Here is a 14,343-nt window from a genome sequence, read left to right on the forward strand (position 1 = left end):
ATTTTTGAGACAGACTTTCACTCTTGTTGCCCAGGCTGGAGTGCAGTGGCGCAACCTTGTCTCACTGCAACCTCCGCCTGCCAGGTTCAAGAGATTCTCCTGCCTCGGCCTCCCGAGTAGCTGGGATTACAGGTGCCCACCACCATGCCTGACTAAATTTTGTATTTTTAGTAGAGACGGGGTTTTACCATGTTGGCCAGGATGGTCTCAAACTCCTGACCTCAGGTGATCTGCCCACATTGGCCTCCCAAAGTGCTGGGATTACAGGTGTGAGCCACCATGCCCGGCCAAATCTTTTTTTAAAAAATAGAGATGGGGGTCTTGCTATGCTGTTGGTTTCAAACTCCATGCCTCAAGTGATCCTCCTGCCTCAGTCTCCCAGAATGTTAGGATTACAGGCATGAGCCACTGCACTTGGCCAAAAACACTTTTTTTAAAGTTGATATATAACTTTACCTCTGGCTATTCAGCAAGTTACGCATTATGTAATACTCCTGTGTGCATGTGTAAATAAACTTTGAATTTTCTCCTATTAATCTTTTTCTAATTCACAAGCTCCTTTACCACCACCTTTAAAACCTAAAATGATAGAGGAAAAGTTTTTCTCCAAACAATGTGATGCTGAACATCTTTTCATTGCTCATCTGCCATCTGTATATCTTGTTTGGTGAAGTGTTGGGGTACAGAGAATCATACTACAAACTATGATGCATGGCATTCTGAGCACTTTTGAATTAAAGAAATTAAATTAAAGAATTAAATTTAACTAGAATTAAAGAATTAAAGAAACCAAAACTTCTTAGAAGCTGCCTCAGGACCAAAGATGTTCTAATCTTCTCTCATTCCTCCCCCAGCTCTCAAATGCAGAGAGGAGCTCTCTCTGGAAGTTCCCTTGTCTGGATAAGGAAAACTTCTTCCAAGAAATGCAATTGTCTTAAGACCCCCCTTTCTAAAAATCTCATCAGATAACCAGGAAATATTAGCCACCTGAAAAAAAGAAGAGACTAGAAGTCTCTTCACACCACACTCAGATAGACCTTTCATCTATTCTTCCAAGAGCAGCTCCAAAAGAGTACCTAAGAGACTTTATCTGTATAATAAGGCAACCTTTGTTCATAGTGCAGTTCCACCCTTCACCTTCCCATAACTCGTCACCCTTCCATTCAGCTTCCAAAGAGACTCATTTACAAACTATTGTCTGCTATTTGGGGCCAGTTCCCTAAAAAATATTTAAAACTCCTCAAAATTGCCTACATTTTCCCCATGTTCCTCTCCCCTATGAAGAGAATACATGAATTTCAACTATTTAGTCTTTCTTTGAGTCTCATAATTTGTATGGTTCCCATGATTATGCACAGTAATAAATTTGTATGCCTTTTTCTCCTGTTAATCTGTCTATTGTCAGTTCATTTCAGAAGTTTTGAACCTTCAGAGGGAGAGGAAAAATTGTCTTTGCCCCATACCATTCAGATGTTTTGCCCATTTTTCAACTAGGTTGTTGGTTTTCTTATGGTTGAGGTTTTTTGAGTTCTTTGTATATTTTGGATAATGTTCTTTTATCAGATATATCTTTTGCAAATATCTTCTCTCAGTCTCTGGCTTATCTTTTTATTCTCTTAATAGTATCTGTTGCAGAGCAGAAGTTTTCAATTTTAATGAAGTTCCACTTATCAATATTTTTCTTTCATGGATTGTGCTTTTGGTATTGTATCTAAAAAATCATTGCCAAACTCAAGGCTGCCTAGATTTTCTTCTATGTTATTTTCTAGAATTTTTGTAGTTTTGTATTTTGCATTAGGTCTATGGTCCATTTTGAATTAACATTTGTGCCAGGCGCGGTGGCTCACGCCTGTAATCCCAGCACTTTGGGAGGCCGAGGTGGGCGGATCACCTGAGGTCAGGAGTTCGAGGCCAGCCTCACCAACATGGTGAAACCCTGTCTCTACTAAAAATACAAAATTAGCTGGGTGTAGTGGTGCATGCCTGTAATCCCAACTACTCCGGAGGCTGAGGCAGGAGAATCACTTGAACCTGAGCGGCAGAGGTTGTGGTGAGCTAAGATCATGCCATTGCACTCCAGCCTGGGCAACAAAAGCGAAACTCCATCTCAAAAAAAAATTGTGAAAGATATAAAGTACAGGTCTATGAAAATGTATGAAGTCTAACCTATGAAAAGATTTATTTTTTGCATGTGTACATTCAGTTCTACTACCATTTGTTGAAAAGACTAACTTTTCTCAATTGAAAATTGATCCTTTGTCACAGATTAGTTCACTGTATTTGTGTGGGTCTACCTCTGGGCTTTCTACTTGGTTCCATTGACCTATTTGTCTATTTTTCACCAATAACACACTGTCTTAATTGCTGTAGCTTTATAGTAAGTTTTGAAGTTGGGTCACGTCAGTTTTCTGACTTTGTTCTTCTTTTTCTGCATTGTGTTGACTATTCTGAATCTTTTTTTTTTTTGAGACAGAGTCTCGCTCTGTCACCCAGGCTGGAGTGCAGTGGTGCGATCTCGGCTCACTGCAAGCTCCACCTCCCGGGTTCAAGCGATTCTCGTGCCTCAGCCTCCCAAGTAGCTGGTACTATAGGCGCCCGCCACCAGGCCTGGCTAATTTTTTGTATTTTTAGTAGAAACGGGGTTTCACTGTGTTAGCCAGGATGGTCTTGATCTCTTGACCTCGTGATCAGCCTGCCTCGGCCTCCCAAAGTGCTGGGATTACAGGCGTGAGCCACCGTGTCCAACCTGAATCTTTTACTTTTATATAAACTTCAGAGTCAGTTTGTCACTATCCACAAAATAATGTGCTGGGATATTGATTGAGATTGTGCTGAATCTATAGATCAAGTTGAGAGGAAATGACATCTTAACATATTGAGTATTCCTACTCATGTACATGGAATATCTGTGCTTCCTCAATTTCTTTCATTAGAGTTTTAAATTTTTCCTCATACCAATTTTTACATAATGTATTAGATTTACACCTAAGTATTTCACTTTCTTTGGTGCAATATAAATGGTATTGTGTTTTAAATATCAAATTGCAATTGTTCATTGCTGGTATATAAGAAAGCAACTGACTTTTGTATATTAACCTTGTATCCTGCAACCTTGCTATAAACAGACATTATGTTTATTCTGCAGACATTTGGAGCCATAAAAGCATGGGGCAAGAGTGTTGTACTATTATATCTTGTTCAAAAAAAGACTAATCTGGAAGTAATATGTAGAATGGATTGGAAGGAGAAAAAAACAAGGCAAGGAGTCCATGTGGGAGGCTTTTATGTGAGCCCTCCATAAGACAATGAGTTTCTGAATAAGGGTGTTGCAGTACCAGTGAAAAGGTAAGAACAGATTCAAGAGGCAAATATCCTAAATTCGGCCTTCTTCTTCAGGCTTACAGGTCTTTTCATACACAATTCTGTCTTTGGGAGGCGCTTAACACTCTCTTCACCTAACTTCTAATTATTCCTCAAAATTCAGTTCAGGTGTTGTGCCCTCCAACAATCCTTCCCCTCTACTATCTTCCCGTAGCCTCCTGCAGTGTCCTCCATCACACTGTAAGTGCTATTTATATTAATATAATCTACTTGTCTATATACTTACCTGCCTGTCTCTAATCTCTTTCATTAAATCATGAGCTCCTGGCAGATCACGAGGTCAGGAGATAGAGACCATCCTGGCTAACACAGTGAAACCCCGTCTCTACTAAAAATACAAAAAAATTAGCTGGGCGTGATGGCAGGCACCTGTAGTCCCAGCTACTCGGGAGGCTGAGGCAGGAGAATGGCATGAACCCAGGAGGTGGAGCTTGCAGTGAGCAAAGATCGCACCACTGCACTCCAGCCTGGGCGACAGAGCAAGACTCCGTCTCAAAAAAAAAAAAAAAAAAAACTCATGAGCTCCTGAATTTGTGTAGCCTAGTACCTGGCCCAATAAGTATATGCATAAATGAATAATGTATTCACTTCTGTTGTAGGAACTTACAACATTACCAAGTATGTGGCAGGCATTATATCATATTTATGTGACATATTTTCTCTTAAGAAACAGGAATCATAAAGCTTCAAAAAAAAACACTGAAGCCTCAGATGAGGCAGGAAGCACTCATTCCATATCAGGAAGTGATCAGTTCCTCAAAACTGTGAGTTTTCAGTCATGTTGTTTCTTTAAGTTGGTTTAGCCTTCCTGTATACATGTGATAATGATACTGTTTTAAAGAACAGGTGTGAAAGTCTAAGAGTTTAATCCAGACTCTGCACAAGAAGTTAATCTGCCAAACCCTAGGATTCTCCTTCTGAAAGCTCAGAATATTTCTTCCCCTTCCCTATACACACAGGGCTCGAAGGGTTAGAGAAGAAAGGCAGACAACAGCTTCTGAGCTTTGGACTAATCACAGCCTCTGTTCTCAGCAGGAGCCCCAACACTGAGACCAGGTAAGAAAGAAAGCCTCAGGGCTGGAGCGAGTAGAGCAGTAAAGACGGCTGGGAGGTAGTGGTCAGATAGAGGGTAAATATTTCAGGAGGGAAGAGGGAAGAAACTTTCTGATATGACAGCCATCAAATGCATGAGTACTTGTGAAAGAAAATGGGATATGCCAATCAAAGGAGAGGTCATATTTCTGTTTCCTGGGCTTCAGGTTCTTCATAGAATTGTGAGACTATGTGAGAAAGAAGATTTTAAAGGGAGCTGTAAAATCTTAAAAGGCAAAATAAAAATCTAAATAGTTATGATTAAAAATTTTGCTCTTATTGCTTCTCCTACTATAACTATCTTCTCTCTTTCTACACAGAAAAGATGGTGCTATGCTTTCCTCTTCTTTTACTGCTGCTGGTTCTATGGGGACCAGTGTGTCCACTTCATGCTTGGCCTAAGCGTCTCACCAAGGCTCACTGGTTTGAAATTCAGCATATACAGCCAAGTCCTCTCCAATGCAACAGGGCAATGAGTGGCATCAACAATTATACCCAGCACTGTAAGCATCAAAATACCTTTCTGCATGACTCTTTCCAGAATGTGGCTGCTGTCTGTGATTTGCTCAGCATTGTCTGCAAAAATCGTCGGCACAACTGCCACCAGAGCTCAAAGCCTGTCAACATGACTGACTGCAGACTCACTTCAGGAAAGTATCCCCAGTGCCGCTATAGTGCTGCTGCCCAGTACAAATTCTTCATTGTTGCCTGTGACCCCCCTCAGAAGAGCGATCCCCCCTACAAGTTGGTTCCTGTACACTTAGATAGTATTCTCTAAGGCATCCACTGCATTTCCTTTCATTTGACATAGCTTCTGTTACAATTGCATCCATGTTTTCTTTTCTTTTGTTGATTTTCTTGTTCCCGTAGAAGAAAGAAGAAAGGTGTTTGGAGAATTCGAGTGCCTAGGATGCCAGACCAGAGTTGAGACAAAAAGAAATAAGATTATTTTCTGCTTTGTAGTTCTGTACTTTTCGAGAGAAGGGAATAGGGAAGACAGCAAAGAAAGATTCAGATTTCTAACCCTGCAACTTTTGCCAAGCTTTATTGCCCTGTGTTCACAGCAATAAAACCACTTCCTGCTGCATTCTAATGAGTGTGTGTTTGAGATCCGCTTTCAAAGCATTGTTGACCGGTACTCAGAGGAACACTGTTTTGACTTTAAGTCCCTAGAAAACTTTTGAGGCCTCCCTGGGGCCCCACTTCCTTGCCCACAAGAAAGGACAGCGTTTGGGACTTTGGAGCATTTCTTCAAACTCTGCTCATGACTTTATATATTCCCCTGGAAACCATTGTCTATGCTTAATTGGAGGTAGTACTGATACCTCAAAGACAGTTGATGATAACTCACACATAGATTCTGTCACTGGCAACTGAAGGATCCTATGTCTTTTCTATTTGTTTCCGTTTTTAATCAGATAATGTTTTAAATATAAGGTGATAGTAGTAGTAATAGGGATAATAATCCATTGTAGTAACCTTAGGGTCAATCCTCCATTATTTATTGAAATGGATAAATAGAAAGCATAGATCAAGAAAAAAGCACTAGGCTTGTCGTGGTGGCTCACGCCTGTAATCCCAGCACTTTAGGAGGCTGAGGCAGGTGGATCGTCTGAGGTCAGGAGTTCAAGACCAGCCTGGCCAACATGGTGAAACGCTATCTCTACTAAAGATACAAAAAAAGTAGCTGGGCGTGGTGGCAGTGCCTGTAATCCCAGCTACTCGGGAGGCTGAGGCAGGAGAATCGCTTGAACCCAGGAGGTAGAAGTTGCAGTGAGCAAATATTGTGTCACTGCACTCCAGCCTGGGCAACAGAGTGAGACTCCCATCTCAAAAACAAAAAAAGAAAAAGAGAAAAGCACCAGGAGACCCAATGCAGTGGCTCACACCAGTAATCCCAGCACTTTGGGAGGCCGAGGCAGGCAGACGACTTGAGGCCAAGAGTTTGAGACCAGCCTGGCCAATGTGGTGAAACCCCATCTCTACTAAAAATACAAAAAATTAGCCAGACATGATGGCAGGAGCCTGTAATCCCAGCTAATCAGGAGCCTGAGGCAAGAGAATCGCTTGAACCTGGGAGGCAGAGGCTGTAGTGAGCCGAGATTGCACCACTGCACTCCAGCCTGGGTGACAGAGCGAAACTCCCGTCTCAAAAAAAAAAAAAAAAAAAGGAAAGAAAGAAAGAGAAAAAAGCACTAGGAAACTAAAAACATTCTAGTCCTATGTAAATACTGAAATACCACAGAAGTATTGGGGTTTTGGAACAGAACCTGAACTAAGCCATTTCACAGAAGGAACTTCAGTTTCCTTGTCAACCTCTAGAGTCATTGGGCTAGTGGGCCAGTGTAAATCCCAAGTGCTTTGTACAGTGATGAGTCTTCAAGTAGCAGCCAAAGACAATGAAGTTTTTTTGAAAAGGCTACATATTGTAGTGTCTTCATTACCTGTGCTGCAAATGATTCTTTCCAAGCCAGACTATTAGTTTAATAGATATGCTAACTCAGCTCACCTTCCTTTACGCTACACATTTATGTCATATCTTAGGAACAAAGAATGGAATATGAGGTTTCAGGAGCCTGGATTCCAGGGTGATGACTGATCAAGGGCCCTCCCATTGGGAAGAGATTAGCAGGTCAGGGCAATATGGCACCTAAGAAGGTGGGTACCTTATAGAGGGAATCCTACAGTGGGACTTGAGTGCTCTAACTCAAAGCAGCTTTCAGTTGTATTCAGCTTTAAGCCATGTTGCATTTACATTTTATTGTCTCAGAGTCTTCATGTAAAGTGTGGTGGAATGGCAGGGAGAATCTGTGCTCACGTTTGGTATGAACAAGTATACGAAAGTAGCAGCATCTGAAAGGAAAGGGGTTGAATGGATTTATATGAACATTACCTGGAAATTGCCAGAGATTCTTAAAGGTAATCTAGTAAAACCAAACAACTCAATTGCTCATGCTATTGTTATTTATATAGTAAAGGTATCTCATGGATTGAATACATCTGTGCTGCAAAAATTTTTCAACTGTCAGAAACATTAGGGAACATGAAATGTTACTTAAAATTAGTGAAATAAATTGTGAGGTCTAAAATACTGCAAATATTTTGTAACAAATGGTTAAAAACAAAAATATAATGAGTGCCATCTTTTGAAGAGATTTGCAGCAACAATATCTAATCTTCCCCACCCTCCCATGACAAACCTATCCCCAACAACAATTAGAGTCACTTTTTGTTGCTGATCAAGGAAAAGGCAACAATGAGGGTAACTTTTCAACAATCTATTATGCCCAAACTTTTAGAAGGTATTAGTTCTAAACAAGTGGAATAGACTGGGATGGAATCTCTCATAGATTTATTTTCTTTTCTACATGCAGTTATGTATTGCAGAAGTTCAATACATAATTGCTAAGAAGTTCACTTAGATATATCCCTAGAATATACAGAATGATCCCAAAGCAGGCAAAGCTTAGAAGTGAATTCAGCAGATGTTCTAGCAGCTCTCAACTCTGGCTTCATATTAGATTCACCTGGGAGCTTTTAGAAAAATACCAATGACGGGATCTACTAAATAAATTTTATGAACATTTAATGAACAATTAAATGAATATCTGGGGGTGAGACCTGGGCTCTAATGGATGTTTGTTAAAGATCCCCATGTAATTGTAATGGGCAGCAAATATTGGTAACAACTGTTGATGCAGGGGTAAGCAAACTACATCTGCAGACCTCTGGCCTGCCGCGCCTATTTTATACTGCCTGGAGTAGTGTGGTTTTTACTTTTATTTTTTTTTTTGAGATGGAGTTTGGCTCTGCCGCCCAGGCTGGAGTGCAATGGCTGGATCTCGGCTCACTGCAACCTCCACCTCCTGGATTCAAGCGATTCTCCTGCCTCAGCCGCCTGAGTAGCTGGGATTACCCGCCACCACGCCCAGCTAATTTGTTTGTTTGTTTGTTTGTTTGTTTGTTTGTTTTTTGAGACGGAGTCTCATTCTGTCGCCCAGGTTGGAGTGCAGTGGCGCGATCTCAGTTCACTGCAAGCTCTGCCTGCCGGGTTCACGCCATTCTCCTGCCTCAGCCTCCCGAGTATCTGGGACTACAGGCGCCCGCCACCACGCCCGGCTAATTTTCTGTATTTTTAGTAGAGACGGGGTTTCACCGTGGTCTTGATCTCCTGACTTCGTGATCCACCCGCCTCGGCCTCCCAAAGTGCTGGGATTACAGGCGTGAGCCACCGTGCTTGGCCGATTTTTACTTTTTTAGGGGGAGAAGAAAAAGGAGGAGGAAGAGGAGGGGGGGAAGAACAGGAAGAAGGAAGGAGTAGAGACGTGAGGGAGGGGAAGGAAGGGGAAGAAGAGGAAGAAGAAGGAGAGGAAGTGACACAGACCCTATGTGTTCCACAAAAGTGAAATATTTACTGTCTGGTCCTTTATAGAACAAAGTGTGTTGATTCCTGGTCTTCTAGACTATTCAATGGATCTTGTCCTTTGGCTGTGGCTGAGGCAGGTGGCTGGAATTCAGTAGGAAGGACGACACCTGGCAGGCTGAGAATTTTGAACTGGGGCCTCAGGAAAGTAATGATTTTTTTTTTTTTTTTTTTTTTTTTTTTTTTTTTTGAGACGGAGTCTCGCTCTGTCGCCCAGGCTGGAGTGCAGTGGCGCGATCTGGGCTCACTGCAAGCTCCGCCTCCCGGGTTCCCGCCATTCTCCTGCCTCAGCCTCCCCAGTAGCTGGGACTACAGGCGCCCGCCACCACGCCCGGCTAATTTTTTGTATTTTTAGTAGGGACCGGGTTTCACCATGTTGGCCAGGATCGTCTCGATCTCCTGACCTCGTGATCCGCCCGCCTCGACCTTCCAAAGTGCTGGGATTCCAGGAGTGAGCCACCGCGCCCGACCGTAATGAATTCTTAATATTCCTTTCTGTGCCCTGTTTCAGTCTTTTTCTGCAATGTACTCATTTCCTCTGCTTTTCTTTTTCACACAGTAAGTAGACAGTCATCCCTTTCCATCTCACTTTCTAATTTTCTCTGAAATATTATTTATTTTTGAAGGGATTCTGACTGATCCCATCCATAGATCAGACATGACCATCGGACAGAATCACATTGCAAAAAATAGCTTCCAGGAGCCTTTCTTGTGGACCATGCAGAAGAGAGGCTTAGAGAGAACTGCCCTTAAGGCTGGCCAAATGGGGTCTCTGGCCTCGCCTGTTCCTCAGGCACCCCGTTGCATCTTGGAATACCCTTCTCAACATTTTCTAAGTCTCTCATCAGTGGCTGCAGTCAGCCCAGGCTGGTAGTGCCTGGCCTGAGATCCGCATGGGATCCTATTCTCTTTCTCTCCTTTGGGGCTTTCTCCCACCCTCAACCCTTCCTTCCAGCACAGGAAGCCCTAAGGAGCTTCAGGACTCATGTCTGTAGTGTTGTCTTGGGGCCAGGACTGGTTCCAGGTGAGTTAGCCCTGGTTAGAGATGTCATAGTTCCCAGAGAAAAGGGGCTAGATAGACAATTCAATACTTTTTCTTTAACCACACAGTGTGGAAACAGAAATTGAATAACAATGTACTCTTGAGGAATAGAGGAAAGTTTATTTTAAGACAGGAGGATGTGGGACCAGTAAAAACATTAAACCACTTTTACAGCTGTACTTAGTGAGTTAGGTGGATATTTTAATTAATTTCGTCTGAAAAGAAATTATACAATCTAAAACTGATTTTATTGATTCTTTTGATACTGTGAATATTTCTTCAAGTCATCTTTTTAATTTGTAAAGTTATTTTTGAAAATGCCATTTTATCTAGACAGTGCTAATAAAAACAAGAAAGTGTTTGTCCACATTTGAGTCAAGATTGCAAAAAACCCCACAAAAACCCAGGTGTAGGGGTGGCAATAGCAGAGCCAAAGAGCTTCGCAAGGAGGAGAAGCAGAAGCTCGTGGGGATGGGAAGTCTTTGGGGGCTCTTCATACTTGATGGATTTCGTCAAGTTTTTCCCTTGCTCTCTCTCATGAGTTCACTTCATTTTTAATGGGATTATTTACTTTTCAAAAATTAAACAATCCAGATAAATACAATATACTAGTGGCATGCAAAAGAAATAAATATTAAGTGTTTCATTTGCTTAAAATTTTAAAATAAATAAAATATAAAAACATTGGGGTCCATTTTATTCCTTTCTGGTAATTCTTCTTAACTCTTCTCAGCCGGGCGCGGTGGCTCACGCCTGTAATCCCAGCACTTTGGGAGGCCGAGGCGGGTAGATCATGAGGTCAGGAGATCGAGACCATCCTGGCTAACACGGTGAAACCCCGTCTCTACTAAAAATACAAAAAATAAGCCAGGTGTGATGGCGGGCGCCTGTATTCCCAGCTACTCGGGAGGCTGAGGCAGGAGAATGGCGTGAACCCGGGAGGCGGAGCTTGCAGTGAGCCGAGATCGCGCCACTGCACTCCAGCCTGGGCGACAGAACGAGACTCCGTCGCAAAAAAAAAAAAACAATAAAACAAAAAAAAACTCTTCTCAGATGAAATCATACATTTGGGGTATATTCAGTCCTTTTTTTGTACTCTTTAAGTATAATACATTCATAAGCAAAATATAGTGTTTCAGTGTGCAATTTTAATACATTTGTATAAATACTATCATAAGGTACGTATCATTCTGCAACTAGTTTTTTTCACCCAACAGTGTTTCCAAGACTCATCAATATTAAAATGTGTATTTGTTGTTCCTTTATTTTTATTGATTCATTATTTTCCCCTCTGTATTAGTATACCACCATTTATTTATCTGTCTTCTGGTGGATATTTAGGATGTTTCCAAATTTTCACTCTAACAAGCAATGTTGCAATGAGTATCTTTGTACATTTCTCCGTGTGCACATGTGGTAAATTTTCACTAATATATGCCCAGATGTGGAATTGCTAAGCCATATTCATGTCCAATTTTACCAAATATTGCCATATTTTCTTCAAACTAGTTGTGGCCAATTGTATTTTCCAAAATGTCCACACAGCCAGGCACAGTGGCTCACACCTGTAATTCCAGCACTTTGGGAGGCTGAGGTGGGCGGATCACTTGAGGTCAGGAGTTTGAGACCATGGCTAACATGGTGAAACCCCATCTCTACTAAAAATACAAAAATTTACCGGGCATGTTGGCACACACCTGTAGTCCCTGCTACTTGGGAGGCTGAGGCAGGAGAATCACTTGAACCTGGGAGGTGGAGGCTGCAGTGAGCCGAGATTGCACCACTGCACTCCAACCTGGGTGATAGAGCAAGATTCTGTCTCAAAAACAAAAACAAAATGTCCATGCCAACACATCCCATTCTACATGTTCTTTTTACATTGTAACATTGGCTCCCCTCTGTCTAAAATAGGCTCTATGTTCCCATTCCTTGAGTATGAGTTAGTCTTGAGAACTCACTTCTAATGACTAGAATGCAGTGAAAGTGACACTGCCTGACCTTCAAGACTAGATCATCAAAGGTGCTACAGCTTCTGCTTTGGCTTACCCTCTCTGTCGTGGGACACTCACCCTTGGACCCAATCTCCACACTGTGAGAACTTCTATGCTACCTGGAGAGGCCTTCTATAGATATTTCAGTCAACAGGCCTAGTTAAAGTTTCAGCCAGCGTCAACCACCCAACATGTGGGTGAGTGAACCCTCAAATGATTGCAGCTCCCAGCCTTTGAGTCTTCCAGTTGCGGTCCCAGTCATTGAAACAGAGTCAAGCTGCCCCCGCTGTGATTTATCTGAATTTCTGACCCACTGGGAGCATAATAAATGATTGTTTTATGTTACCAAGTTTTGGATTAATTTGTTACACCGGTACAGCAACTGAAGCATTGATTGTACAATTTCATATTCAGAAACTATGGTATATGAGATTTTCTTTTTCTATATTCTATCTGTAGCAAAACACGACATGGTTATACTCCTACATTTTTGCCAATCTGATGGCTATGAAATAGCACAGTGTTTTTTTAAAAAGAAAAAAAATAGCCCACCATTATTCCATTATTGTTCTGTAGGAAAAAACAGCAACGACCACAGATGTTATCAGTGTCATTACATCCTCAGTTCCAAAAACAACAGCAACAGCAAATCCTCAGTTTCTAGCACAATGCCTGCCACTAGTAGGTTTTTAAGCAATATTTGCTGAATGTAGGAATTAGTAAGTGCCACTGTTTGCTCAACTCTATTCTAAGTGGTTTACGTAACTTGATTTCCTTAATCTACACATTAACTTTAATGAGCATACTTATCTTCATTTTGTAAATATTGAATAGTCTTCAGGAGATGAAGGCATTTAAATGAGGTCATATTTATAAGTGGCACTTATAATTGGCAGAGCTTGAATTCAGACACAAAGCCCTTTCCCTTTCTCTTTTACATTAAGGCCCAAAGAAGCTTACAAATTATATAACAACACTTTTTTAAAGAATTATATTTTATTCCACTTACTACTTTATTTTTGTCTTTCATCAAATATTTGCCCTTTATGGGTCACTCAGATTGCCACTACATAATTTATATCAGAGTTGTTCCCGAGCTAGTTGACAGCCCTCTCAAGAAACAAGCCATAACATACTTGGTTCTCTTTAATCAGTAGGATGTCTCAAGGCAGCCCAGTGTTTTTAAGACAGCTGTAGATTCTCTGTATATCATTTAATCATTATTCATTTATTCATTCAAAAATTTACTATGTGACCAGGCTGCATTGAGAGCTACTGATATAATGATGGACAAAGAGTCATGGTCTTTGTTTTCATGGAATTTGGGGTCTAGTAGGGGAAATAGATATTAACCCAATAATCACTCAATTTGAGTCAATTCTAGAAAGAAAGTGTATACAAAGTTATGAGACCATCAAGAAGGAATATGAGTAAGTTTAGAGGGTCTGGAATGACTTCCCTGAAGAAATGATGCCACTTGACTCTGAGACAGGAGGGGGCAAGGAAGTGCTGGGTAGAGAAGGGTGGGTCCCTGGCTAGGGCTCCACCTCCGGGCCTGTGCCCACCCACCGAGGTGAGGACAGGCATTTGTTTTTGTGCCCAAATGTTGCATTTTCCAAGACCACCCTGGCCCACCATGTCCCCATCCTGTGCCTATAAAAACCTCGAGACCCTAGTGGGCACAGACAGAAGTGGCTGGACGTCGAGAGGATCACACCACTGGAAGAACACACGAGCTGCTAGATGTCGAGAGGAGCATGCTGGCAGGAGAACACACCGACAAACACCAGCAGATGCTGGCATGCCATCCACCGGTGGAACGACGTGGACGCCGAGGGGAATTTGGTGCTGGGCAGCCTGACTCCAGGGGAAAACCAGCTTCCCACTCCTTCCCTCTTCTGGCTCCCCATTCATCTGCTGAGAGCTACCACCACTCAACAAAAAACCTTGCACCCATCCTCCAAGCCCACACGTGATCCAATTTTTCCAGTACACTAAGACAAGAACCCCAGGATACTGAAAGCCTTCTGTCCTTGAGATAAGGCAGAGGATCTAATTGAGCTCATTAACACAAGCCACCTGTGGATGGCTAAACTGAAAGAATGCACTGCAACACATGCACACTGGGGCCTCAAGAGCTGTAAACACTGAACCCTAGACACTGCTGTGGGGTCAGAGCCCCACAACCTGCCCGTCTGCATGCTCCTCCTAGGGTATGAGCAGCAGGGTACCAAAGAAGTGAGCCCTGGGAGGGGGATAAGGGAACTTTTCCCATTTCAATTTGATATGTGAAGAATCAATACCATTTCAAGGCAGTTATTATTATCAGTTCATAGGTGAAGAAACTGAGGTTCAGAATCTTCCCCAAATAACAAAATTAGTAAAGGGTCTACCTGTGATTTGAAATCAGATCT

At 42.0% G+C, this 14,343-nt stretch overlaps 1 protein-coding gene and 1 long non-coding RNA gene across 5 annotated transcripts in view, besides 1 other annotated feature; one reads left to right on the forward strand and one right to left on the reverse strand.

Annotated features, from left to right (window-relative positions):
* Positions 1-14,343, reverse strand: part of LOC107984671 (uncharacterized) — a 74,578-nt gene that overhangs the window by 50,950 nt on the left and 9,285 nt on the right. The window lies entirely within an intron of this gene.
* On the forward strand, positions 4,169-5,566 carry RNASE6 (ribonuclease A family member 6). Of its 2 annotated transcripts, XM_017021566.2 has the most exons (3): positions 4,169-4,227; positions 4,341-4,437; positions 4,794-5,566. In XM_017021566.2, exon 3 carries the CDS (start codon positions 4,799-4,801, stop codon positions 5,249-5,251), a length of 453 nt encoding a protein of 150 aa, XP_016877055.1. In that variant the 5' UTR covers positions 4,169-4,227; positions 4,341-4,437; positions 4,794-4,798; the 3' UTR covers positions 5,252-5,566. The 2 variants fall into 2 exon arrangements, with proteins under 2 accessions (XP_016877055.1, NP_005606.1); NM_005615.5 differs by lacking the exon at positions 4,169-4,227 and having other exon boundaries at positions 4,367-4,437.
* Positions 5,442-5,511: an enhancer, noted in NCBI's record as "active region_8095". NCBI's record gives its function as "activates an Ori minimal core promoter by ATAC-STARR-seq in GM12878 lymphoblastoid cells {active_cell/tissue: GM12878}" and the evidence as "EXISTENCE:reporter gene assay evidence [ECO:0000049][PMID:35858748]".

Source organism: Homo sapiens, chromosome 14 (genome assembly GCF_000001405.40).
Source record: "Homo sapiens chromosome 14, GRCh38.p14 Primary Assembly".
NCBI classification, from domain to species: domain Eukaryota; kingdom Metazoa; phylum Chordata; class Mammalia; order Primates; family Hominidae; genus Homo; species Homo sapiens.